The sequence below is a fragment of the Homo sapiens genome, chromosome 6 (assembly GCF_000001405.40).
Source record: "Homo sapiens chromosome 6, GRCh38.p14 Primary Assembly".
Taxonomy (NCBI): domain Eukaryota; kingdom Metazoa; phylum Chordata; class Mammalia; order Primates; family Hominidae; genus Homo; species Homo sapiens.
The window spans coordinates 43,222,700-43,249,129 of NC_000006.12; the positions used below are offsets into that span (position 1 = coordinate 43,222,700).

Sequence of the window (26,430 nt, forward strand, 5' to 3'; positions counted from 1 at the left end):
TTGGCTGCTTTCATCGGACTTGCCTGGGTGAAGGGAATGAGGAGAGGGCAGGCGGGAGAGCTGATGGGAGCCCCTGCAGGTGCTGGCCTACGCCTGCGTGTACAGCTTCTACAGCCAGGACGCAGAGTACATGGATGTGGTGGAGCAGCAGACAGAGAACCTGGAGCTGCACACCAATGCCCTGCAGATCCTCCTGGGTGAGCCACCCCTGCCAGCCAGGCCCTCCTCCTGCCTCCTCCCCTCTGTTGCACAGCCCGGCCCCTCCCAGACAGGTCAAGCGGCACCCTTACCTTCCCTCTCTCCTCTTCCTCTTCATTCTTCATGGCCTTCTCACTGCCTGGCTGTTAAAGCTCAGGTCGAAAGCCTACATTGTAAGGTGCCCAAGGGCGCAGATGTTCGTGGATGTTTCTTGGTTTCTGGTCTTTACCCTGCTCCCCTAGGGAGCTTCATGAGAATGTCTAGAGCTGCACCTGGTGCTTGGTAGACGTTCCATAGGTGTTTGTTGGAGGAAGGAATGGATGAGAATGAGAAGGGAGGGAGCCTCTGTGCCTGCCCCCTCTGCAGAGGAAACCCTGCTGCGGTGCAGAGACCTGGCCTCCTCCCTGCGCCTCCTGCGGGCCGACTGCCTCAGCACGGGCATGGAGCTGCTCCGGCGGATCCAGGAGAGGCTGCTTGCCATCCTGCAGCATTCTGCCCAGGTACTGCCCGGCCCAGACCCCTTCTGCTCCTGCATTCTGCGGGAGTTGAGGTCCTCCTGTCCCAGCACAGCCCCTGCCCTGGGGCGAGTCCAGAAGGAAAGGCAGCAAAGCGGGTGAATGGATGTTAGACCTGGGCGCACATCCCGGCTTTTGGGCCAACCTGCCTGATGCTGCTGGACCCTATCACTTCACCTCCTGGGGATTCCTACAAAATAAAGGGGTTGGCTAGCCCACATCAAGGGTATTTGGTCAGGTGCCTATCAGAATCACTTGGGGAACTTTTCCAGACTGTACTTCCCAGATAGGGATTTGAAATCCTAAGAGTGGGCATCAGGGGATTGGGGTCACTGGAGCAAGGGCTCTCCCAGGCTCTCTCCAGCTCTAATGCACTGATGCTGAGTCTAAACTGTGAGTCCTGTCCTCAGGTTGCTTACTGACTGGTAAGTCACATGGGCAGAAAAGACATAGATTCTGTAAGCTCTTTAAGCACAGGGTCGTGTGCCTCACCTGGTACCCCGTATCCCTGGAGACCATCTGTGGGTGAACTCACAAAGGCAGTGTTTCATGAAGTGCTGTGCTGGGAGGGGAGCAGTCCTAGCAGGAGCTTGGCCCTCCCAGAGCATCAGTGGAAGGAATGCTGGGTCCAAAGGCCCCATGCCCTCTACCTCCTTCTCAAATCCTTCTGTCTGCTCACCAGGATTTCCGGGTTGGTCTTCAGAGTCCATCAGTAGAGGCCTGGGAGGCAAAAGGACCCAACATGCCTGGCAGTCAGTAAGTGGGGTGGGCAGAGCCATGGAGGAGGCAGTGGGACATGGCAGCCTCCTCTGGGCTGAGTGTGGTGGCTCTCCCTAGGCCCCAGGCCTCCTCAGGGCCAGAGGCAGAAGAGGAGGAGGAAGACGATGAGGATGATGTGCCCGAGTGGCAGCAGGATGAGTTTGATGAGGAGCTGGACAATGACAGCTTCTCCTACGATGAGTCTGAGAACCTGGACCAAGAGACTTTCTTCTTTGGTGATGAGGAAGAGGATGAAGATGAGGCCTATGACTGAGGGGGCAGATGCAGGAAACACCTAGAGCAGCCCCAGAGTCACGGGGCTGAGGGGGCGGGAGCTGCCCCTGTCATAGGGAGGGGGATTCCCAGCGTCTGTAGTGCTTCCTGTTTGCTGAATAAAGGTCTCTTTCTCACACACATCTCTGGGAGCAGGCTGACAGCTTCACCAGGGGCCAGCCAAGTTGCCACTGCCCTGGCCTCATATCTACCCACACCCCTCATCTTTATGTTTCCTTTAGACCTCCGGACTCTTCTATCCTCCGAGAAGGCTCAGAGCAGATTCATTTGACTTAAGCTGATAAAGGGAAGTGAAGGTTGGCATGGAAAGGGCCACGTGCAGCCCCAGCCCAGTTCAGAGGAGACAGAGAGAGGGATGGCCACCCACAGGAGCAACCATCCTCCCAACTCTTTTTTTTTTTCTGAGATGGAGTTTCACTTTTGTCCCCCAGGCTGGAGTGCAATGGTGTGATCTCGGCTCACTGCAACCTCTGCCTGATGGGTTCAAGCGATTCTCCTGCCTCAGCCTCCTGAGTAGCTGGGATTACAGGCATGCACCACCATGCCCAGCTAATTTTTATATTTTTAGTAGAGACAGGGTTTCCCACATTGGCCAGGCTGGTCTCGAACTCCTGAGCTCAGGTGATCCGCCCGCCTCAGCCTCTGAAAGTGCTGGGATTACAGGCGTGAGCCACTGTGCCCAGCCCTTCCTCCCAACTCTTTTTTTTTTTTTTTTTTTCTGAGAGGGAGTCTCGCTCTGTTGCCCAGGCTGGAGTGCAGTGGCGTGATCTGGGCTCACTGCAAGCTCCACCTCCCGGGTTCACGCTATTCTCTTGCCTCAGCCTCCTGAGTAGCTGGGACTACAGGCGCTCACCACCTCGCCCGGCTAATTTTTTGCATTTTTAGTAGAGACGGGGTTTCACCGTTTTAGCCAGGATTGTCTCGATCTCCTGACCTCGTGATCCGCCCATCTCGGCCTCCCAAAGTGCTGGGATTACAGGTGTGAGCCACCGCGCCCGGCCCTCCTCCCAAGTGTTCCTGGGGAGGAGGGGGCTTGAGGGCATTAGGAGTTGTCCTCCTCTCGGCCTAGAGATTTCTAAAGCATCTATCTTGAAGTGAAGTGTGGCAGGAAAGGGTATTACTGAGGACCTGCCCCACCCCCATGACTCACACAAGACAGAAAGTTAGGATTTTAACTGTACCTTTTAATTTGCTCCTGGGGCTAAGAGGAAGGAATGGTACTAGAGCAGTGTCTGAGAATAGAAGAATTTAAGAAAGTGAGATTAAGTCAAGTGGTTGGGTCAGGGGAGGCAGCCACCTGCCCTGGAGGATCAGCCTCGAAGTATCGATCCAGCAGGGCCTCCACCTCTCCCTCCTCATAGTCCCACACCTGGAACCGAGAGCCATCTGCTGCTCCCCGGATCATGGCCGAAAGCACTGGAAAGGGCAGGGAAAGGTGAAGCTGCCTCCCATCCACACCCTCACAGCTCCCTTACCCCTTGGGAGAGGCGCGGTGCTCAGAGCCCACCAGGGAAGGAGCTGAGGGCTGGGTCCATAGAAAGCCAGGAGGGAGGCTTGGGGTGCTCACCGCGGCCAGACTGCGGGCGGAACAGGCACAGGATCCGCTTGTTAAAGGCCACGGCCCGGCCCAGCTCATAGCCTACACCCAAGGATGGCTGTGTCACTTCTGCCACGACCACTGGGAGGAAAGATGAGAGGAAGCCTCAGCATTGGGGGCACTTGAGGTTCATAAGGAAGACGACGGTGTGGCTGTGGTGAGGAGGGAACTCTGGGAGTCCCTTCTAGGTGTGGAGGCTGGGATGTCCAGGGGAACCCAGCACTCCAGAGGAGTTAGGTGCTGGAAGGAGGGAGCGCCACTCACCGTCCGCCTGCTGCAGCCACTCCAGGTCCTGCTCATGGATGAGCCTGTCACCCCCAGCAGCCTCTTCCCCTGTGTTGAGGGAAAGCTGGTCAAGGACATGCCTCATGCTGGCTCCCAGTAACTCCTATGCCCTTGTATGTCCATACCCACCCTGCTCAGGGAGGGTGGGAGCCTTGTGCCAGATGACCTGACCAAACATGACAATCTCATCAAAGCAGCGAGGAAATGGAATAGCCACAAAAAGAAAAATTCAACCCTATGCAAGGTGGGACATGTGATTAGGGCCGAATGAGGAACATCAGCAGCACTAACTGTGGATGACATTGATTAGGGAAAGGTGCATGGGCACTTAGCCAAAAGTAGGAGAGGCATCCTAGGCCCAGAAGGTAGGGATCTCGGGTCTTAGCTTGATTAAATGTTATCTTCCAGGACAGTGAGGCTCAGCCCACCGCATCAGGGTAGGACCACTGGGGAGCTTGTTAGAAGTACAGATTCCAGGGCCAGGCGCGGTGGCTCATGCCTGTAATCCCAGCACTTTGGGAGGCTGGGGCGGGTGGATCACTTGAGGTCAGGAGTTCAAAACCAGCCTGGCCAACATGGTGAAACCCCATCTTTACTAAAAATACAAAAATTAGCTGGGTGTGGTGGTGCACACCTGTAATCCCAGCAACTTGGGAGGCTGAAGCAGGAGAATCACTTGAACCCAGGAGGCGGAAGTTGCAGTGAGCTGAGATCGCACCACTGCACTCCAGCCTGGGCAACAGAGCAAAACTCCATCTTAAAAAAAACAAGAAAAAGTACAGATTCGGGCCAGGCGCGGTGGCTCACGCCTGTAATCCCAGCACTTTGGGAGGCCAAGGCGGTAGGATCACGAGGTCAGGAGTTTGAGACCAGTCTGGCCAACATGGTGGAACCCCATCTCCACTAAAAATTAAAAAATTAGCCAGGCGTGGTAGCAGGCGCCTGTAATCCCAGCTACTCGGGAGGCTGAGGCAGGAAAATTGCTTGAACCTGGGAGGAGGAGGTTGCAATGAGCGGAGATCACTCCACTGCACTCCACCCTGGGCGACAGAGCAAGACTCTGTCTTGGGGGAAAAAAAAAAGTACATATTCGAAGGCTTTATCCCAGATGATCAGAACCTGCATTTTTAACAGGCTCCCTCAGATGACACTAAAGACCTGGAGAGCCACCAGGCAGTCTGGATATACCATGAACTAATGAGCTGTAAGCTTCAGGGTCCTCCACTTGCACAGGCCCTTTCCAAACCATCAGCAACTTTGTATTGTGATTTTTGTCTTTTTAAAGAGGTCTCCCAGAATTGCATGAGGTCCCACAAATTGTGGGTCTGCTCTTGGGTAGGATAAGTGGAAACCACTTAAGGTTTTCTGAGCAGAAGCACAAGCATTCAAGATACAATTTTCAAACTGGAAGGATCTGCAAGATTCCAGACCAGCACATCAAATATGCTTTAGAGAAATCCAGCCAGACTCAGCGGCTCATGTCTGTAATCCCAACACTTTGGGAGGCTGAGGCAGGCAGATCACTTGGGCTCAGGAGTTCAAGACCAGCCTGGCCAACATGGCAAAATCCCGTCCCTATAAAAAATACAAAACTTAACCAGGTATGGCGGCACACACCTGTAGTCCCAGCTACTTGGGAGGCTGAGGTGGGAGGATTGCTCAAGCCCGGGAGGCAGAGGTTAGCAGTGAGCTGAGATTTTGCCACTGCACTCCAGCATGGGTAATAGAACAAGACTGTTTCCAAATAAATAACTAAATAAATAGAAAGAGAAAGAAAAACCCAGCAGCCAGGAGCAGAACACAATAATGGCCTGAAAGAGAATATGAGGCCAGCATGGGGGCTCACATCTATAGTCCCAGCACTTCGGGAGGCCTGAGGCGGGAGGATCACTTGAGGCTAGGAGGTCGGGACCAGACTGGGCAACATAGTGAGACTCCCAATCTCTACAGAAAAATTTTGAGCCAGGCATGGTGTCGTGCCCCTGCAGTCCTTGCTAATAGGAGGCTGAGGCTGGAGGATCATGAGTTTAGGAAGCCGAGGCTGCAGTGAGCTATGATCGCACCACTGCACTCCAGCCTGGGCGACAGAGAGGCCCTTGTATCAACAAAACAAAAATGTGAGAGAGGGTAATAGTGAGAACTGGGGTCAGCCAGGTCTAAAAGAGTGCTGATGTCTTCACAGAAAAAGGGGAGGCAGGCCCTGGGCGGTGGCTCCTGTCTGTAATCCCAGCACTTTGGGAGGCCGAGGCGGGCAGATCACCTGAGGTCAGGAGTTCGAAACCAGCCTGACCAATATGGTGAAACACCGTCTCTACTAAAAATACAAAAAGTAGCCGGGTGTGGTGACGCGTGCCTGTAGTCCCAGCTACTCGGGAGGCTGAGGCAAGAGAATCACTTGAACCCGGGAGGTCGAGGTTGCAGTGAGCCGAGATCACGCAACTGCACTCCAGCCTGGGCGACAGAGTGAGATTCCGTTTCAAAAACAAAACAAAACAAAACAAAAAAAGTTGGTGGGGAGGCAGGAGGATACCTTTCGTGTTGGGTGGTGGAAAAGATTCCAGCGGGTGAGGTGGGAACTGAGCCCAAGCAAAGCAGCCCAATCTACCTTCTTTCTGTTGCACCCTACAAACGCTCTGAAAGCAGCTGAAGACAGAGTTCTCCAAGAAGGAACCAAAGGTCAAGATAATGCTGAGTCTGCCTTACACCCGCAGGCTTGCTGGGACCCACGCAGCCCGAGCCCCGGCCCGTTTCCTTCTCGGGCTGGGGCGCTGGATGGAGCACCGGGGTAGGAGGGCGGGCTCCGGGCGCCGGGAGCGCAGCTGCCGGGGGTCGGGGGGGCGGACAGGCCGGGTCCCTGCCACCCCAGCCAGGTCCGCGCCCGCGTCCCCGCGTCCCGCGGCCCCAGGGCCTCACCGCGCGCGCCCAGCTCGGCGGCCGCCACGTGCTCGGTGAGCACTGTCCCGAATCGCCGCAGCCGAGACACGATCCGCTCGTACAGCGTCCTGTCCTCGCGTCCGCCGCGAATGCTCCCGCAGAAGTACAGGGCCGGGCGGCCAGGCTCCCCGCGCTCCCAGCTCTCGCTGCGCCCCGGCACCATGGCAGCAGCCATTCCCCAGCCGCCCGCGCTCTCCGGCGCCAGGGGGCGCCAGCCCGCGGCCACGTGACCCCGCCCGGCCCAGCGCAGAGCCCGGCTGCTGAGTCCACACCTGTGGAATGGGGACGACGAACTGGGAGGATCCAGCCGGGACCCTTTCGGGAACACACCCTTCCTGGACTTGACGTTCGGATGCCTAACACGCACCTTAACTTGACCTTGTCCAGGCAGAACTCGAGGGCTTCCCCACCTCACCCGCTTCTGCTCCCCTCCTCCCCGCCGTCTTCCCCAGCTGCATCCTCCCAGCTGCTCAGGCCCAAGACCCTCGGAGTCATCTGGATCGTTCCCTTTCTCTCAAACTCTGCGTCCCATCCATTGACAACTCGTGTGGATTCGTCCTTCCAAATCTGAAATCTCACGACCGCCTACAGGGCCACCACCCTGGTCTAAGCCTCCTCTGGGCTCTCCACAGCCTCCTAACAGGTGTCCACATGTCGTGAGCTGCTCAAGGTCAGACAGAACCAGGTCCACCCACCTTTGTGTCTGTCCACAAGATCAGGTTTTTACTGATGCTATTTCAATCACAAAAGCTAGGCGTCACACGGAGTTCCCAAGAAGTCAGTTCTCCTTAGGACCACCTGTTCACTCGGTAGTCAGAGCCGCGGGCATGCAAGCTGGAGCCACTCCACAAGTCAGACTGTATTGCAAACCATCCATAGTATTATATGTAAGGATATAAATGTTACAGGTTAAAATTTCACATCAAACACAAGAACATTTAACATCAAGAGAAAAGGGGTTAACGAACCAGTCCAAGGAGAGTGCTGTGGACAGAGTCCCGGCCTGATGGGGATAGTCATCAAGAGCTTGCAAGGAAGAGTCCTTGATTTGGGCAGAGCCTTCAGAGGCAGACACCAGGTGCTGGGCACGAGTGATAGCAAGACTCGGTCTGTTAAGGTGGCCGTGTCTAGCTGCTGAAGTCCTGATCATTTTATGGTCCTTGAGTCCTCTGATGAGGACTTATAGTAAAGGGTGATGCCCTTATCTGGTTGGGTGTTGTCTCCATTGGTTAGGCGAACATCTGGACCCTGTTGGCTTGATGCCTTTTGAAATGTAAGATGAAGTTTTTTAAAACTTTATTTATTTATTTATTTATTATTTTTGGTGACAAGGTCCCTGTCGCCCACACTGGAGTGCAGAGGCACGATCATTGCTCACTGCAGCCTCAAACTCGTGCCTCAAGTTTGAGGGTTCAAGGAATCCTCCCACCTCAGCTTCCTGAGTAGCTAGGACTACAGGCACGTGCCACCATGCTGAGCTAATAAAAAAAAAATTGGCTGGGCTCGGTGGCTCATGTCTGTAATCCCAGCACTTTGGGAGGCCGAGGTGGGCAGATCACGAGGTCAGGAGATCGAGACCATCCTGGCTAACGCGGTGAAACCCCGTCTCTACTAAAAATACAAAAAGTTAGCCAGGCGTGGTGGCACACTCCTGTAGTCCCAGCTACTCCAGAGGCTGAGGCTGGAGAATCGCTTGAACCCGGGAGGCAGAGGTTGCAGTGAGCCAAGATCACGCCACTGCACTCCAGCCTAGGCAACAGAGTGAAACTCCATCTCAAAAAAAAAAAAATTGTAGAGACGAGGTCTCACTATGTTTCCACGGCTGGTCTCAAAACTCCTAGACCCAAGCAATCCCCCTACCTCAGCCTCCCAAAGCGCTGGGATTACAGGCATAAGCGAATGTGCCCAGTGATGGAGTCTTTCTAAGATGGAATTACTTATGTCAAGGGTTCTCTATACACCTCCCCTGGCCCTTCCCTGCTACAGTTTGCTCTCCACTCAGCAGCTTGAGTGATCTAGGTCATGACCCTCCTCTGCTCAAAACCCTCCAGTGGTTCCCATCTCACTTGGGGTAAAAACTGAAAACCTCACAGTAGCTCACAAGGCTCCAGATGATCCTGTCACCCTCTTACTTCCCTAACTCCAGCTTCTATTACTTTCATTCACTTCTCTGCCACCTCACTGGCTTCCTGGCTGTTCCTTAAGCATGTCAGCCATGCCCTTGCCTCAGAGTCTTTGCATTTGCTGTTCCCTCTGCCCGGAACACTGTTCTCCCAGGTAGCTTCCTGGCTCACTCCTCATTTCCTTCAAGTCTTTGTTCACACTTCACCTTCCCTGATCACCCTATTCAATATGGCAGCCCTCCATCCCCCAGTACTCTCTATCACCCTTCCCTACCTTGCCTTTTCTCCTTCTCATACACCATATAACTTATTAATTTTGTTGCATGTTTTTCTATACCTAGTAGAAGGTCGTTCACTGCTGTATTCCTGCTTTCTTTCTTTTCTTTCTTTCCTTCTTTCTCTTTCTTTCTTCTTTCTTTCTTTTTCTTTCTTTCCTTCCTTCCTCCCTCCCGTCCTTCCTTTCCTTCCTTCCTTCCTCCTTCTTTCTTCTTTCTTTCTTTCTTTTTCTTTCTTTCTCCTTCTTTCTTCCTTCTTTCCCCTTCCTTCCTTCCTCTCTCTCTCTTCTTTCTTTCCCTTCCTCCCTCCCTTCCTTCCTCCCTTTCTTTCTTTCTCTTTTTTTCTCTTTCTTTCTTTTCTTTCTTAAGAGATGGTGTCTTGCTCTGTCACCCAGGCTGGAGTGCAGTGTCATGGTCACAGCTCACTGCAGCCTCAAACTCTTAGGATCAAGCAATCCTCCCTCATCATCCTCCTGAATAGCTGGGACTACAGGCGAGTGCCACCATGCCTGGCTAATTTTTTATAGAAATGGGGTCTCACTATGTTGCCCAGGCTTATCTTAAACTCCTGGGCTCAAGCAATCCTCCCACCTCAGCCTCCCAAAGTACTGGGATTACAGGTGTGAGCCACTGTGCCTAGCCTATCCCTGGTTTCTAGAACTATGCCTGGCACATAAGAAACATTTATTAAATATTTGTTGAATGAATGAGTGGTTTAAATGAGAGGATGTATTTCACAGCACTTCACAGTCTGCTCAGCCCTGTAGTAAGTAGGCTGATAGAGGCGGTATCTTCAGGGAGACAGGCAAGCACTCATTGTTCACCAATACTGATTTCATCCTCATTTTATTATGACAATCACAAATATATGACAAAACCTTCAAATGGAACAAGAGAGTATGCAGTGGAAAGAAAGTCCTGAGACCCCAGCCCCACTCCCCAGAGGAAAGCTCCATCAGTGTTTTCTTCCGTATTCTTCCTGAAAGATAAAATACTGAAGTATGCGAGTGCAGAGAAGATGCAACAATATGTATATTTTTAATGCTAAGATACAAAAGGGAGATAGAGATTTCAGAGTATTTCTGCCCACTGCTCTGCTGGGCCCAGCTAGGTATACACGGACCATGGGGCAAACATGAAGACACAGCTGCACACCTGTCCCTCCACCTCCGGGTGCCCTCTCTCACACACACACAAACATGCATACACAGATTAGGAAGGAGGCCTCATGTGCCAGCAGACTTGACAGGCAATCTCCCCAACACTCCTTATCCTCGCTCACACCTTCCCTCCATTCCCCCCCAAAGACAAGGAACACACATTCACAGACACACACACACACACCATCTTGTTCCTCAGTATCTTTTTATTTATTTATTTATTTTTTTGAGAGAGGGTTTCCCTCTTGTTGCCCAGGCTGGAGTACAATGGTGAGATCTCGGCTCACAGCAACCTCCGCCTCCTGGGTTCAAGCAATTCTCCTGCCTCAGCTGCCCGAGTAGCTGGGATTACGGGGCATGTGTCATCACGCCCGGCTTATTTTGTATTTTTAGTAGAGATGGGGTTTCACCATGTTGATCAGGCTGGTCTTGAACTCCCGACCTCCGGTGATCTGCCAGCCTCGGCCTCCTAAAGTGGCCTCTGTATCTTATAAGTAAATAAATCAATACATAAACCAGCCAGCCCCCATCTCTTTGGGGGCCACACCTCTGCTCTGGCTGGGATCTCCTTTCTACCTCAGGCTGAAGGGATATTTTGAATAGAAGAGTAAAAGTGTAGAAGGGACATTTTGTGTTTCTCCAGTTGGGAAACAAGGCATTGAGACTGGTTCTAATCCACTGTCAGTTGGGTGAGGACTCAGAGCAAGCCATGACTTGCAGCTCAGACCTTCTGGCTCAATGCAGAGAGGCCCGAGTTGGAGGAACAGGGTACTAAGTGATGGGATGGAGGAATGAGGGCAGTGGGGAGCCTAGCGAGGCAGCTTGACAGGGAAAATATCTCACCAGGTGACAGGAGGCCAGTCTTCTTTTTCTTTCTTTCTTTTTTTTTTTTTTGTGAGACAGAGTCTTGCTCTGTCGCCCCAGCTGGATGCAGTAGTGTGATCTCGGCTCACTGCAACCTCCACCTCCCAGGTTCAAGCGATTCTCCTGTCTCAGCCTCCCAAGTGGCTGGGACTACAGGTGCCCGCCGCCACGCCCAGCTAATTTTTGTATTTTTAGTAGAGATGTGGTTTCACCCAAAGTGCTGGGATTACAGGCATAAGCCACTGTGCCCGGCCCCAGGAGGCCAATCTTGATTCCATTACTATCTCTGTGACCTTGGTCAGGTCCTTTAAACTCTCCAAGCCTGTTCCCTCATCTATAAAATTGGTAAGAAATGTTATCCTGCCCTACTCACCTGGTTTGAGCATGGTGCAGTGAAGTATGTGAAGGCACATTACAAAATATAGGCTAGGCACAGTGGCTCACACCTGTAATCCCAGCACTCTGGGAGGCCGAGGCAGGCGGAGTGAGTGAGATCGTGCCACTGCACTCCAGCCTGGGTGACAAGAGTGAAACTGCGTCTGAAAAAAAAAAAAAAAAAAAAAAAAAAGGCCGGGCGTGGTGGCTCACGCCTATAATCCCAGCACTTTGGGAGGCCAAGGTGGGCGGATCACGAGGTCAGGAGATCGAGACCATCCTGGCTAACACGGTGAAACCCCGTCTCTGCTAAAAATACAAAAAATTAGCCGGGCATGGTGGCGGGCGCCTGTAGTCCCAGCTACTCGGGAGGCTGAGGCAGGAGAATGGCGTGAACCCAGGAGGCGCAGCTTTCAGTGAGCCGAGATCGCGCCACTGCACTCCAGCCTGGGCGACAGAGCTAAACTCCGTCTCAAAAAACAAAACAAAACAAAACAAAACACACACACACACACACACACAAAGTGCTCAGGAGGTTTTTAGGGCGGTGAAATTACCCTGTTTGATCCTATAATGGTGGATACATGTCATTATACATTTATCCAAACCCATAGAGTGTACAACACGAAGAGTGAACCCTAATGTAGTCTATGGACTTTGCGTGATAATGATGGTCAATGTAGGTTCATCGATCGTAACAAACGTACCGCTCCAGTAGGGATGTTGATAATGGCGGAGGCTGTGCATTTGTGGGGGCAGAGGTGTGTGGGAACTCTCTGTACCTTCTGCTCAGTATTGCTGTGAACCTAAAACTGCTCTAAAAAATAAAGTCCATTTAAAAATAAAGTGCTATACATATGTAAGTCATTGTTCAATTAAACAAAAATTATATTTATTATGGAAAATGTCAAATTTATATGCTGATACAGAGAATAACGAAAGACTACATATCATATGATTCTATTTGACATGTCCAGAAAAGGCATATTTGGTGAGACAGAAAGCAGACCAAATGCTGGGGGTTGCCTAAGGCTGGGGGTGGGAGCAGGAATTGCCTGCAGAGGGCACAAGAAAACATTTTGGGAGTGACAGAAAGGTTCTTTTTTTTTTTTTTGAGACAGGGTTTCACTCTGTCACCCAGGCTAGAGTGCAGTGGCACCATCACGGCATCACAGCTCACTACAGCCTCGACCCCTCAAGTGATCCTCCCACCTCAGCCTCCGAAGTAGCTGGGACTACAGGCAGGTGCCACCATACCTGGCCAATTTTTGTTAGCAGGCTTGGCCTGCTTCTATGAGTTTGCCCATTATACATCCTTCATATGAGTTGAATTTAGGCATTATTTGTCCCTCTGTGACAGGCTTATTTCCCTATAATGCCCTCCATGTTCATTCATGTCTGATTTCAAAATATATTATGAAGCTACAGTAGGCTAGGCACTGTGGCTCATGCTTATAATCACAGCACTTTGGGAGGCTGAGGTGGGAGGATTGATGGAATCCAGGAGTTTGAGACCAGCCTGGGCAACAAGCAAGACCCCGCCTCTACAAAAAATTTAAAAGATTAGCCAGATGTGGTGGCAATACGTGTGTGTGTGTGTGTGTGTGTGTGTGTGTGTGTGTGTATAACGGAATATTAAACAGTCTTTAAAAAGAAGGAAATCCTGCCATTTGCAACAGTAAAACTTTTTAACAAAGCAAAATATGAAGTAGAGAAAATAGTATCAGATTTAATAATTATCAATTTATGGCCAGTCTTGTTTCATCTGTATTCATACTAAATTTCCTCACTGTACTATTTTGATGCAAATTTCAGATTACATTTTTCATTTATAAATATTTTTATATATGTCTCTAAAAGATAACTCTTTTTTACTAAAAATGTAACCAAGGCTGGGCTTGGTGGCTCATGCCTGTAATCCTAGCACTTTGGGAGGCTGAGGTGGGAGGATTGCTTGAGGCCAAGAGTTGAAGACGAACCTGGCCAACATAGTGAGACCCCATCTTATTAAAAAAAGGAACTAAAATATTATTATCATATCATAGATGAAAAATTTAACAAGATTTTCTTAATGTCATCAAATATTCCATTAGTGTTCAAATTTCTTGTCTTACAAATGTTATAAATGTTTGTAATTTATTTAAAATCAAGATCCGCATATTATGATTGGTTGACATGCCTTTTAAGTCTATTTTAATATATACATTTCCCCCGTATATTCTATCTTTCTCTCTCTCATCCTGCAGTTTCCTTCAGTCTGAAGTTTGCCAATTATATCCCTGTGATGTCTTTGGACATGTTCCTCTATATTCCTTATTTCCTGTACATTGGAGTTGGATGTAGAGGGTTAGTCAGATTCAGGTTGAATTTGGGCAACACTATTTCACAAGGGGTGGTGTGTAATCCCAACATGGGCACATAGCATCTGGATGTCTCTCTGTTTTGATGTGAGCAACCATTGATACTCAATGCCCAGATGTATTAATCATTCACCATTCATTCATTCATGCGGGGGTATACCAATAAAATTATACTTTTATTATAAAATCAAACCCAGCTACAGAAAACCACCTAAACAAATGAATTATTATAAGACAAACACTCTTGCACCCATATCATCTCAAAATAGATCTTCAAATACCCAGAAGTTTCCATGTGCACCATCCCAAACAGCCACCTTTCTCCCTCCAAAAGTAACCACTGCCCTTACTTTTATAGTGAGGACAAAAACTCATTAAAGGTCCTTAAGTTTCTTTCTTTTTTTTTTTTTTTTTGAGACGGGGTCTCGCTCTGTCGCCCAGGCTGGAGTGCAGTGGCGCGATCTCGGCTCACTGCAAGCTCCACCTCCCAGGTTCACGCCATTCTCCTGCCTCAGCCTCCCGAGTAGCTGGGACTACAGACACCTGCCATCAGGCCCGGCTAATTTTTTTGTATTTTTAGTAGAGATGGGGTTTCACCGTGTTAGCCAGGATGGTCTCGATCTCCTGACCTCGTGATCCGCCCGCCTCGGCCTCCCAAAGTGCTGGGATTACAGGCGTGAGCCACCGCACCCGGCCCCTTAAGTTTCATTATGGTTTTATCACCCAAATGTGCATTTCTAGACAGTATAGTTTAACCTTACCTATTTTTATTTATCTTTTAAGTCCCCTTTATTTATTTTTTTGAGACAGGATCTTGCTCTGTCACGCTGGCATGCAGTGGCATGATCATGGCTCACTGTAGCCTCGACCTCCTAGGCTCAAGCGATCCTCTCACCTCAGCTTCCTGAGTAGCTGGGGCCACAGGAGCACGCCACCACACCTGGCTAATTTTTGTTAAATTCATTTTTTATTTTCCAGAGAGACGAGACGAGGTCTCACCAGGTTGCCCAGGCTTGTCTGGATCTCCTGGGCTCAAATAATCCTCCTGCCTCAGCCTCCCAAAATGCTAGGATTACTGGCACAAGCCCCTGTGCCCGGCCTTAAATCCCTTTTAATGTACAGGTTGGCGACACACTTTAAAAGCATTTATTTTGTGTGAGACATTCAATGGGCACTAACAGAGCTACAGAAAGGAGTAAAGAAGAGCATCTGAGATTTTTGACTCCATTTGGCTTTGGGAGGAGCCAGCCTTAGCTCAAGAATAGGAGAAATCAGGCTAACGCCATGCATTAATGTGCAAAGGACTGAGTGACTCAAAGAAGGCAGAAATCAAGCATCTGGGGAAGCTCTTCCAGTCTATCCTCACACTCCTGCCGTGTAACACCCAGATCAAATGTCTTCTTCTGGCCAAGAAGCAGAAGACCTAGATTTACCCTCCCATCTTTAACAACTAAAAAACTGGACAGAATATATGAATATAGAGCAATAATGTTTGAACACTGGCCATCAGGCAGCACAGAACAGTACTGTAATCCCTGAAAGACTGAAAAAAAGTAGACGAGCTTTATATTTGCCCCAGCTTATTGCCTACAAGGTTACCAGGCTGCAGGATGGAGGAACCCAGGCTGAGCCTGGCTGTCTCTTTGATCGAGGAGATAGAGCTGGGAGTCCAGGGAGGCCAAGGCCACTAGTTTGCAGGAGAGCGTACAGGACAGGAGAGAGAGCTCTGGAGAGGTTCAGAGGGTTCCATGAATAGATAGCTGAGGACTGATCAACACATGTGTATGAGGGAACTATCCGTGGTAGGGAAAAACATCTGAAAGCCACAGAGTTAACAATTTTTGAGCTCATACAGGGATGGAACTAGTGCCTGTTCCTACTGGCTCATACGGAAAATTCATAGGGCTTTGCCTTGGTGGCAAAAAAAAAAATAGGTTTTGCCTTAGTGGCAGAGAAATATTAACCCTAGACTGGACGCTGCTCTGGTCTAAGCTAATAAAACTTTAAAGTAAACTTTGAAAGGATCAAACTGGCTTTTCTCTCTCTCTCTCTCTCTCTCTCTCTCTCTCTCTCTCTCTCTTTGTCTGTCTGTCTCTGTCTCTCTCTTTTCTTTTTCTGAGACAGCATTTTGCTCTTTCACCCAGGCTGGAGTATAGTGGTATGATGATGGCTCACTGCAGCCTTGACATCCTGGACTCAAGCGATCCTCCCACCTCAGCCTCCCAAGTAGCTGGGACCACAGATGCATGCTACCATGCCTGGGTGATTTTTGATTTTTTTTTTTTTTTTTTGAGACAGGGTCTCTCCATGTTGCCCATGCTGGTCTTGAGCTCCTGGGCTGAAGCAATCCTCTTGCATCTGCCTCCCAAAATGTTGAGATTTACAGGCATAAGCCACCATGCCCGGCCTGTTTTTGCTTCTTAAAAATTAACTGCAGTCCAGAAGAAAGCTGAATAATATTCACTGAAATATAAAAATATACAGGGCTCAGCAAGGTAAAATTCACAGTATTTGGCATCCAGTAAAAAATTAGTAGATATGGAAAGAAGCAGAAAATATGACCCATAGTAAGAATAAAAATCTGTTGAAACTAATCCAGAAATTGTTTAGATAAAATTAGTAGAAAATATATTAAAGTAGTCATTATAATTATTCCATATGTTTAAGAAGTTAGAAGAAAAAACTGAGATATGGAAGATTTTAAAAGACCCAGATCGAACTTCCAGAATTGTAAACAACAATGAAAAATAATACATTGGATGGAATTAATATTAGATTAGATGCTGTAAGAGAAAAGATTAGTGAACTTGAATACACAGCAATAGAAACTATCCAAAATGAAACACAGTGAGAAAAACGGCTGGGAAAAAGTGAAGCATCACTGAGTTGTGGGACAACTTCAAGTGGCCTAATACACAAGGTAATTGGAGTCCTTGAAGGAAAGGGGAGGGCAGAAAAAATATTTAAGAAAATAATGGCTGAAAAATTTCTCAACTTGATGAAAACTATAAATGCACAGATACAAGAATCTCAAACCCAAGCACAAGAAACATGAAGGGGTGGCCTGCCCCTCCACACCTGTGGGTATTTCTAGTCAGGTGGGACGAGAGACTGAAAAAAGAAATAAGACACAGAGACAAAGTATAGAGAAACAACAGTGGGCCCAGGAGACTGGCACTCAGCACACCAAGGACCTGCACTGGCACCGGCCTCTGAGTTCCCTCAGTTTTTATTGATTATTATTTTCATTATTTCAGCAAAAAGGAATGTAGTAGGAGACCAGGGTGATAATAAGGAGAAGGTCAGCAAAAAACATGTGAGCAAAAGAATCTATGTCATAATTAAGTTCAAGGGAAGGTACTATGCCTGGATGTGCACATAGGCCAGATTTATGTTTCTCTCCACCCAAACATCTCAGCAGAGTAAAGAATAATAAGGCAGCATTACTGTAAACATATCTCGCCTCCCACCATAGGGCAGTTTTTCTCCTATCTCAGAATTGAACAAATGTACAATCGGGTTTTATATCGAGACATTCAGTTCCCAGGGGCAGGCAGGAGACAGTCGCCTTCCACTATCTATCTCAACTGCAAGAGGCTTTCCTCTTTTACTAATCCACCTCAGCACAGACCCTTTACGAGTGTCGGGCTGGGGGACGGTCAGGTCTTTCTCATCCCACGAGGCCATATTTCAGACTATCACATGGGGAGAAACCTTGGAAAATACCCCGCTTTCAAGGGCAGAGGTCCCTGTGGCTTTCCGCAGTACATTGTGCCCCTGGTTTATTGAGACTAGAGAATGGTGACAACCTTTACCAAGTATACTGCTTGTAAACATTTTGTTAACAAGGCATGTCCTGCACAGCCCTTAAACCTTTATTTTATACAACACATGTTTTGTAAGCTCCAGGCTGAGTCAAAGTGGCTGGGTCAAAGTGGCTGGGGCAAAGTGGCTGGGGCAAAGCTACAAATTAACAACATCTCAGCAAAGCAATTGTTTAAAGTACAGGTCTTTTTCAAAATGGAGTCTCTTATGTCTTCCCTTTCTATATAGACACAGTAACAGTCTGATCTCTCTTTTCCCTACAAAACATGAACTATGTAAAAAAGACACATCATAAAATAGCTTACATAGCTAAATCCAGTGACAAAGAGAAAATCTTAAAAGAAACCAGAGGCATTGGGCTGGGCGCGGTGGCTCATGCCTATAATCCTAGCACTTTGGGAGGCTGAGGCGCACAGATCATTTGAGGTCAGGAGTTTGAGACCAGCTTGACCAACATGGTGAAACGCTGTCTTTACTAAAAATACAAAAAATTGCTGGGTATGGTAGTGCATGCCTGTAATCTCAGCTACTCGGGAGGCTGAGACAGGAGAATCACTTGAACCCGGGAGGTGGAGGTTGCAGTGAACCTAGATAGTGTCACTGCACTCCAGCAGTCTGGGTGACAGAGACAGACTCTGTCTCAAAAGACAAAACAAAACAAAACAAAGCAAAAAACAGATGCATAAAAGACATGTATTTCATACAAAGGAACAGAGATAGGATAATTGCAAATTTCTGATCAGAAACAATGCAAGTTAGAAGACAATAGAGCAACATTTTTAAAGTACTGAAAACAAAAGCAAAAAAGAAACTAGAATTCTAACCCAACACTCACATCAGACCATGTCTCATCTTTGCACAAAACTCCTCAGTGGTTTCCTATCTGAAAATCAGGCTCTCCAGGACACTGCCTCTGAGACAGAGATGATCGCACAGTAAGTTTATTGGGAAGTGCTCTGGTGATCAACCTCTGTGGAGGACTGAAGAAGGCAAGGTTGCATGGAAGGGGAAGTTGAGCTCTGATATAGTCTCAATAGAAGCCTCAGCTGTCCCTATTAATTTTGAAAATAGGATATCCCTTCAGAGCTGTCCCCAGTTGAAGCAAGGGGGTCAGGCCTTTATACTCATCAACTGGATGTGGGATGTCCCAGGAAGGGGGTATGATCTTGGATGAGGCAGCTCCCTTGGCCAAGGGCAATTCCCAGAGAACAGGTCAGCTGAAAGCAGTCAGCCTTCAACATCTCATATCTGGGAGAATAAGCACCTACATTCTGGAGGGAGATCTGAATGGCTCTCCACAGTATCCACTACAGTTCCAAAAACCAAATGGATAAAATCTAATCTTCTTAGCACTGCACACAAGGTCCTTCATGATCTTGCACACGCCCGCCCCAGCCTCATCTCATGCTGTCTTCTCAGCCTGGAAGTCTCTTTCATGCTCTGCCCTGGCCCCACTTGTCTGTTGGCAAACTTCTACTAATTCTACTAATTCCTCAAATTACAGTTGAATGTACCTCCTCCAAGAAGCCTTCCCTGACTACTCTTGCAGGCTCAATGATCCTTCCTCCCAATGTGGTGATTAGAACCATGGACTCCAGAGCCAGGGACTGAATTCCAGCTCTGCCACTTTCTAGCTGTGTAACCCAATGCATATTACTTAACCTGTCTGTATCTTAGTTTCCTCATCTATAAAACAAGGGATAACAATAGTACTCTTACTTCATAGGGTTGTCATCAGGATTAAAGCAATTAACATATGTAAAGTTAGAGTAGTATCTGGCAGAAGTAAATAACTGCTGCAATTGTTGTTGTTGTTGTTGTTATTATTGAGACAGAGTCTCGCTCTGTCATCCAGGCTGGCATGCAGTAGCATAATCACGGCTCACTGCAGTGTTGACCTCCTGGGCTCAAGAAATCCTCCCCCCTCAGCCTCCCGAGTAGCTGGGACTGCAGGTGCACACCACCACACCCAACTAATTTTTAAATTTTTTGTACAGATGAGGTCTCACTATGTTGCCCAGGCCGGTCTTGAACTCCCGGGCTCAAGCGATCCTGCTGCCTTGGTCCCCCAAAGTGTTGGGATTATAGGCATGAGCCATTGCACTTGGCCCATTGTTGTTGTTATTATTATTCAAGTTGCTCTGATGCATTTGTTGAAGGCATTAAGGAAGGAAAGAACTGGCTGGGCACAATGGCTCATGCCTGTAATCCCAGAAATTTGGGAGGCCAAGGTGGGCAGATGGCTTTGAGCTCAGGAATTCAAGACCAGCGTGGGGAACATGGTGAAACCCCGTCTCTACAAAAAATACAAAAATTAGCCGGGGATAGTGGCTCATGCCTGTAGTCTCAAATATTTGGGAGGCTGAGGCTGGAGACTCGCTTAAGTCCAGGAAGCAGAGGTTGCAATAAACTGAGACTGTGCCACTGCACTCCAGCCTGGGCAGCAGAGTGAGACCCTGTTTCAAAAAAAAAAAAAAAAAAAAAGAAGGAAGAAACTGAAAGAGACAGGCGGCATGCAGAATGTGTTGTTCAAGGAATGTTGGAATGTTGAGTTGTTGAGTAACCCAACATGTCAGAAGGGGAGTAATGGCCTAATGGGTCCATGTTGGGAAGATGTTTTGATGTTACAGTAAAGAGTGTCCATCTTATTTGGTAAGCAGTAAAAACCAATGGCAGAGTTTGTCCACAAATGAAAGAAAGGGCCAAAGAAAGAGAGACACAGATTGAGCCAAAAGATAAAGCATATAGGTGGTGAGGTGAGAATTGCACATGACGGGTGGTGGGTGCGAGTGTGGGATGGTCCCAGAAGTGGTGGGTGATGGGGACGTATGGGAGGATGGGTACAGGAGAGGGGGATGAGTTGAGAGGAAGGCGATATAAACATGTAGAGGATGGAGTGGGGAATCAGGCGAGACTGATGGGTCAGATGAGGAATTTTAGACATGCTAGGAGTGGGGAAGATAAAGGGTGATGGAGACAGGTGAGTTTTATGGGAACAGGTAAGGAGTGATGGGGCTGTGCTGGGAGATGGAGTCAAGCGGGTGGCAGAGAGCTGTAAGGAGAACCTGAGAGCTGGAGCGGGACAGCCAGAGAGTCCCAGGGCTGGAGGAGAGCGGAGCGGGGCCGTCGGAACGTGATGTCAGAGGAGGAGCCGTGATGTCAGAGCGGGCGGCGGGCGGTGATGTCAGGGCTGGTGCTGATGCTGGCGGCGCGGTGCATTGTGGGCAGCTCCCCGCTCTGCCGCTGCCGCCGCCGTCGCCCAAGGAGGATCGGGGCCGGGCCGGGCCGGGATGATCCGGGTCGGAAGGCCGCCGCCGCCGGAGGGAGCGGGTCACCCAACGCCGCACTGAGCCGCCCCCGCCCCGCCCCGGCCCCGGGGGATGCGCCGCCCCGAGCTGCTGCCTCCGCCGCCGCCGCAGCCGCAGCCGCAGCGGGCACAGAGCAGGTGAGGCGGGGCGGGGCGGGCCGGGGTCGGGGCGGGGGCTCCTTCGTGGGCTCAGGGGGCTCCGCCTGGCTCGCCTCCCAGCGCAGCCTTCTTGGGCTCCCCTCCGCGCTGCTGTCGCCGCCCGCTGGGCTGGGACGCTGGCCTACACCGCCTGGGCCGCGCCGAGGCCTGGAGCCGCTCCCTGTCCCCAGCACACAGACCTCCCTCCCCAACCCGTCCTCCGGGCACTTTGCTCCTCCCCACTCACCTCCGTCCCCTGTCCCCATGGCTTCACCCCTGGCTCTCCTGTCATCCCTGACGAATCATTCGGCTGTCTCCGTAACCTCCCTCCCTGTCCTCAGTCCCTCCATGCCTCCCACCTGCCTTCTTACCTACTTCCTCACCCCCTCAACTGTGCCCAGAGATCCCTCCCATGGTCCTATCTCTTCCTTGCCTGTCATCATTATCTCTCACGGGTCTCTATCCTACCCACCCCTCTCCTCTGATCCTGTCGCTCCTCATCCCTGCCATTCCCCTCTGCCTCCCTCCACACCTCTTTCACCTGTTCCCATCACCCCTCGCTAGTCTCCATCACCTCTCCTTACCTGGGCTCCCAGATTCTCACACACACCTGCTGACACCTTGCAGAGTTACACATCAACACTTGTATTCACAGGCCATGATGAGCTCCCACCAGTTCCACGTACCCCTGTGTACCATCACTGGCCCCACATGCTCCTATCTGCACTCTCTGACAGATATTCATACAAACTCCTGCATAAGCCCTCGCCTTCACCATGCGCCCATGTGCACATAGGGGTCTGAGGCGGCAGTAACGGGGCAGCCAAGTGTCCCATGTTTGTATCATCCAACCCAGTCTCAGCTGAGCATAGTCCTCAGACACAGAGAGAAGGAGGGTGGAGAGGGAGAAGCAGGTAACCCTCATTTATCTTCCTGGCTCCACTCTTCCTTCTCTTGCCTCATCTGTTTCTTTTTGGTTTGCTCATCTATAAAATGAGAGCAGGACACAAATTTTCCTTATCAACCTAACAGATCCACTGTCCCAGGACTGGAAAGCCCACCAGAGTTCACCCAGTTTAGCTTCTGAAGGCCCCCTCCCACCAGTTCAATTGCTTCTTCAGTCTTGTCCTCAACCTGTCTCCTCCACCTTTATTCTAGAACCCCCATCCCTACCTCTCCCTTCATCCTGCCACTGCCCTCACTGCCCTTCAAATTCCTGATGCCCCATATCCCACTTTGGCAGAAAGAGGGAAGTCCTGATGCTCTGAAGTTGTAAGGATTGGAGGAAACAGCTCAGCTTAGTCACTTGAAGAAAGAGAAAAGGAGTGGCAGCGTCCCTCCCCATGAAGATCCCTTCTCCATATGTCCACCATGGCCCATCATGAATTAGAAGGTGGTTTCCACACCTCCACGTCCCACCCTGTCCCCTATGGCAGGATGTCTAGATGCAAGAGCCCTGGGAAGTTATTTCATCCCAAGGAAAGGTGGGTTTATGTAGTTTCTACCCCATCTATACATCTCTTTAGCCACCTTCCTCCCCCGACCCGCAACCCCCAAACCCCAGCCTAAGTAACTTCCCTCTTTCTCTATTTGTGACTCTCCAGGGTCGTTGTGAGGGCACGGTAGTGTGCTTCTAAAAAGTGTGAGGGAAAGAGAAGAGGAAAATATCCTGGTTCCAAATCCTGTCCTGGGTTGGCAGAAATCTCAGAAAGTCATGTCTTCTGGCCCCTTGCCTACACACATGCATATCACACACAGACACAAAACACACACAAGAACACACAGATACAGAGATACATGTAGAAAAGCACACAGACACACAGAAAAGATAGACAAAGAAAGACACACAAAGAAACATACACACACAGAAGGATACATGCACAGATACACACACAGACATACACACACGCACACATGGGCATTTCTCCGGTAACATGTGCCTGTCTTTCCCAACCCCCGCCGTTGGGAAACTCTCCCTGATATCTAAATTCTACCTGTCCTAATTCGAGGAGAGATGTGTTCTTTCTTGTCGATTCCTAAGCAGACACAGAAAGGTGTGGTCAGAGGCTTTCTCACCCCATGCCCACCCAGACCTGCTGTTCTCTTTCACTTCTCCTGCCTCCTGCTAGGCCCCTTCCATTTTCCTGTCCTCCCCAGTTCAGCCCACTTCTGTCCCTCTGGAGTGGCCACAAGGTTGCTGTCTATCTGAAATCCATGTCTTGAGTCCATCACCTGTGTTCACCCCATCTCTTATATCCTGACCTCCCAACCCCATGGCTGTGTCAGTGGGTTCAGCTCACCCTGAGAAAGGTGTATGACTCTCAGCACATCCATCCCCCTCAGTTAACACCACCCTCAAGGGGCTTTAGTGCCTCCCCTCATTTTCTTGATTACCACATCTCCCAGGGCTGATTAGCAGGTCACTTTGGTGTGGGTGTCCCATGGGTCACCCCTTGGGTAGCAGGTCTTCCCTTTTCACTAAGCCTCTGTTGCACAGCTCCATGGACATTTTGTGGCACAGGGACTCCCCTAAGGGGGAGCCAAAGCCCAGGCCTCCCCTACAAGGGAAAGGGTCCCAGTCTGGTATGCCCCCTTGGTCAGCAAGTCTTCCTGGCATCAGTTAGAGTATGTCTCTCTCCCCTCGGCCTGTTCACTGTCATTTTCCTCTTCTTCATTGGTCAACATGTGTGTCCTGTTGCTGATTTTAAACATCTCTAGTTTGTAGTCTGTATCTCCCTTGCACTGGCCTTTATACAATCTTTCCCCTGGTAACTCCTGGAGCATCTGTCCAGTGGGGCCAGGAAGAATGCAGAGCAGGAGTGGAGCTCCTCTCCTCCATATCTGCCAGGTGGTCCTGGGTCCGCAGCCCGCCCTCACAGGCCCTCCTCACTCCCCTAGGTAGATGGCCCCCTCAGGGCAGGCCCGGCGGACACCCCTCCCTCTGGCTGGCGGATGCAGTGCCTAGCGGCCGCCCTTAAGGACGAAACCAACATGAGTGGGGGAGGGGAGCAGGCCGACATCCTGCCGGCCAACTACGTGGTCAAGGATCGCTGGAAGGTGGTGAGTGAGTGACCCGGCGGGACAGAGGGAGGGTAGCGGGGAGGGAGGCGAGGACCTGGAGACTTGTTAAAACCGGTGCCCTCCGCTCCCCTACCCTAAGAGGGAGGTGCCTCTAAGCTCATTTGCATACTGCTTGCATGTCATTATTTTTGCCAACACGTGTGGACAATAGCTTTCTCCCAGTGCCCTCTCTCGAGCCCCGCCCTCTCTCACCCCTCTTCCCGCTAGGTCACGTTGGTCAGGCCAAGCCCGGAACAACTCCTGGTTGGATGTCTGGGCAGGAGCTGCAGAGGCCAGTGTGGCGGAGGAGGAAGAGGGGTGGGGGAGGGAGCTTTTTCTCTGACGGACCTTGGAGAAGGGCAGTGGACGAGCATGTGTCCCTCCGCTTCCGCAGAGGACGGAAAGGCTTGGGTTTGGGGAAAGAGGCCCTGCAGGCTGCTCCCGCCGCACCCGCACTCCATCTTCTCCATCCAGCCTCCTCCCCTCGCCGGGTCCTGCGGCAGGTGCAGCACGGCGAGACTCCATCTCCCGGCGTGCCCTGCTCCTCCAGCCCGGGGCTTCGGGCTGCTCGGCCTGCTGGGAGTTGTAGTCTCAGCCTCCTCGGGAGCCGGGCCTGCCTCGGAGCGGGGGCGTGAGGGCTGGGGGAATGATAGTATTTGGGGAGCGAGACCTACTGTAAATCACCTCCCTTTTTCCGTCACTTAATAGCGCTCTGGTGTCCTCTTATTATTGTGGGGGCAGGATAATGTGGGGCAGACTGTGGGCGGCAGTGTGGGGAAACCCGTGTGTGAGCCTGTGGGACTGCACCGGAGTGGGGAGCCAGGGGGAGGGGAGGGAGAACAACAGAGGTCAGGTACACTCCTGACCTCTGAGTCGTGTGTGTGTGCGTGTGTGCTTGGCGCGTGTGCGCACCCGCGTGCTTTAGTGGGGAGGCTCAGTTCACGGGAGTGCGGGGTTGGAGAGGAGGGTGAGGCCCGGGTGCAGGCGGGTCTCCACGGCAACAGCCACCGGCCGTGCAAGTCCCCTAGAAACCTAGAAAGAGGCAACGGTGGCGACGTTTTCAGAGATGTCTCTGGGACTGGGGGTTGGGAGTGGAAGGGATGAAGAGGAGGAGACTTCTAGGGGTCCCCAAGGGATGAGGAAAGGGGCTGTTTATGTCCCAGAGGGGGACTTCCTGAGAGGGAGAGTACAGAAATCGGGGGAGGAAGAGCCAGGGCAGTAATAAAAGGAACGAGGGTCTGGCGAAGACAGGAGTGTTCCTCTGAAACCTCGGGGCCCCTGGCACCGGAGCTTAGTTTCTGGCGGATTGGAGGCAGAATGACATTTGCACTGAAGTGGTGAGGAAAAGACAGTTTTTACACACATGTTGAGTTTAGGCTGGAACTTTTTTGTGATTTCTGAGGGAAGGAGTAGAAGATGAGTGGGGAGCGAAATGGAGCAGGGAGCTGGGGGGAGGGCAAGCATGGCAACCTCTCCTCACCTCCGACCCCCACCCCTGGAGTGTTAGAGAGGGTGAGGGGCCACATGCTTCCCTTCAGCCTGTTCCAAGTGAGGATGGCACTGAGGTGGGAGGCAGAGCTCAAGAACCAAGGCAAACTGCCCATAGATCTTGGTGGCCAGAAGAAAAAGGGGGTCAGTGGCACTAGATGTGGCATTTAAAAATAAATACGTGGACCAGGCATGGTGGCCCATACCTGTAATCCCAGCACTTTGGGAGGTTGAGGTGGGAGGATCACTTGGGGTCACGAGTTCGAGACCAGGCTGGCCAACACGGTGAAACCTCATCTCTACTAAAAATACAAAAATTAGCCGGGTGTGGCAGTGGGCGCCTGTAATCCCAGCTACCTGGGAGGCTGAGGCAGGAGAATCACTTGAACCTGGAAGGCAGAGGTTGCAGTGAACTGAGATCATGCCATTGCACCCCAGCCTGGGCGACAGAGCAAGACTCCTCCTCTAAATAAATAAATAAATCCTCAATACTTGGCAGGCTGAGGCAGGAGGATCGCTTGAGCCCAGGAGTTCAAATCCAGCTTGGTCAACCTGTCTCTAAAAACATAAAATAATAACATCTTATTCATCTTGAGGGGTGCTTCTCAGAATCAGAATAGCAAACAATAATAGTAATAATGACTTAGTATTTGTTTTGAGCATTCACTGTTGCCAGGCATTGTGCAAAATGCCTCATGTGCATTATCTCAAGAACTTACCAAGTAGATTTGTATTCCCATTTATTAATCCCATTTCACAGGTGTGGAAACTGAGGAAATTGCTTAGCTAATTTGCCAAATTTCCATGACTAGTAGGTGTCATGGGCTGATTCTTGTCAGGTCTGTCTGACAAGAATCAGCCCATCCAAGAATC

The 26,430-nt window shown here is 50.4% G+C and overlaps 3 protein-coding genes across 22 annotated transcripts in view, besides 6 other annotated features; 2 read left to right on the forward strand and 1 right to left on the reverse strand.

Moving 5' to 3' along the window:
- Window positions 1–1,888, forward strand: part of CUL9 (cullin 9) — a 42,392-nt gene extending 40,504 nt beyond the window's left edge. For all 14 annotated transcript variants that reach the window (XM_017010589.2, XM_011514423.3, XM_047418475.1 and 11 more), the window contains 4 exons: window positions 80–197; window positions 565–698; window positions 1,396–1,469; window positions 1,551–1,888. In XM_017010589.2, the coding sequence (XP_016866078.1) occupies window positions 80–197; window positions 565–698; window positions 1,396–1,469; window positions 1,551–1,746 (522 nt within the window). In that variant the 3' untranslated portion in view covers window positions 1,747–1,888. The remainder of the gene's footprint in view (window positions 1–79; window positions 198–564; window positions 699–1,395; window positions 1,470–1,550) is intronic.
- Window positions 123–660: an enhancer, noted in NCBI's record as "H3K4me1 hESC enhancer chr6:43190560-43191097 (GRCh37/hg19 assembly coordinates)". NCBI's record gives its function as "activates a minimal SCP1, AML or CMV promoter by ChIP-STARR-seq in naive H9 embryonic stem cells {active_cell/tissue: H9 hESC(naive)}" and the evidence as "EXISTENCE:reporter gene assay evidence [ECO:0000049][PMID:30033119]".
- Window positions 1,496–2,075: an enhancer, noted in NCBI's record as "active region_24596". NCBI's record gives its function as "activates an Ori minimal core promoter by ATAC-STARR-seq in GM12878 lymphoblastoid cells {active_cell/tissue: GM12878}" and the evidence as "EXISTENCE:reporter gene assay evidence [ECO:0000049][PMID:35858748]".
- On the reverse strand, window positions 2,930–6,782 carry DNPH1 (2'-deoxynucleoside 5'-phosphate N-hydrolase 1). Of its 2 annotated transcripts, NM_006443.3 has the most exons (4): window positions 6,562–6,782; window positions 3,628–3,696; window positions 3,334–3,444; window positions 2,930–3,182 (listed from the first exon to the last, which is right to left on the reverse strand). In NM_006443.3, the coding sequence occupies exons 1-4, from the start codon at window positions 6,755–6,757 to the stop codon at window positions 3,034–3,036; spliced, it is 525 nt and encodes a 174-aa protein (NP_006434.1). In that variant the 5' UTR covers window positions 6,758–6,782; the 3' UTR covers window positions 2,930–3,033. The 2 variants fall into 2 exon arrangements, with proteins under 2 accessions (NP_006434.1, NP_954653.1); NM_199184.2 differs by having other exon boundaries at window positions 2,930–3,444.
- Window positions 6,391–6,580: a silencer, noted in NCBI's record as "silent region_17222". NCBI's record gives its function as "represses an Ori minimal core promoter by ATAC-STARR-seq in GM12878 lymphoblastoid cells {active_cell/tissue: GM12878}" and the evidence as "EXISTENCE:reporter gene assay evidence [ECO:0000049][PMID:35858748]".
- Window positions 6,564–7,063: an enhancer, noted in NCBI's record as "H3K27ac hESC enhancer chr6:43197001-43197500 (GRCh37/hg19 assembly coordinates)". NCBI's record gives its function as "activates a minimal SCP1, AML or CMV promoter by ChIP-STARR-seq in naive H9 embryonic stem cells {active_cell/tissue: H9 hESC(naive)}" and the evidence as "EXISTENCE:reporter gene assay evidence [ECO:0000049][PMID:30033119]".
- Window positions 6,564–7,080: a biological region, named in NCBI's record as "H3K27ac hESC enhancer GRCh37_chr6:43197001-43197500".
- Window positions 6,641–7,080: a silencer, noted in NCBI's record as "silent region_17223". NCBI's record gives its function as "represses an Ori minimal core promoter by ATAC-STARR-seq in GM12878 lymphoblastoid cells {active_cell/tissue: GM12878}" and the evidence as "EXISTENCE:reporter gene assay evidence [ECO:0000049][PMID:35858748]".
- The window catches only part of TTBK1 (tau tubulin kinase 1), a 44,778-nt gene continuing 39,129 nt past the window's right edge, over window positions 20,782–26,430 (forward strand). For all 6 annotated transcript variants that reach the window (XM_017011364.2, XM_017011365.2, XM_011514947.3 and 3 more), the window contains exons 1-2: window positions 20,782–21,009; window positions 23,908–24,069. In XM_017011364.2, the coding sequence (XP_016866853.1) occupies window positions 23,962–24,069 (108 nt within the window). In that variant the 5' untranslated portion in view covers window positions 20,782–21,009; window positions 23,908–23,961. The remainder of the gene's footprint in view (window positions 21,010–23,907; window positions 24,070–26,430) is intronic.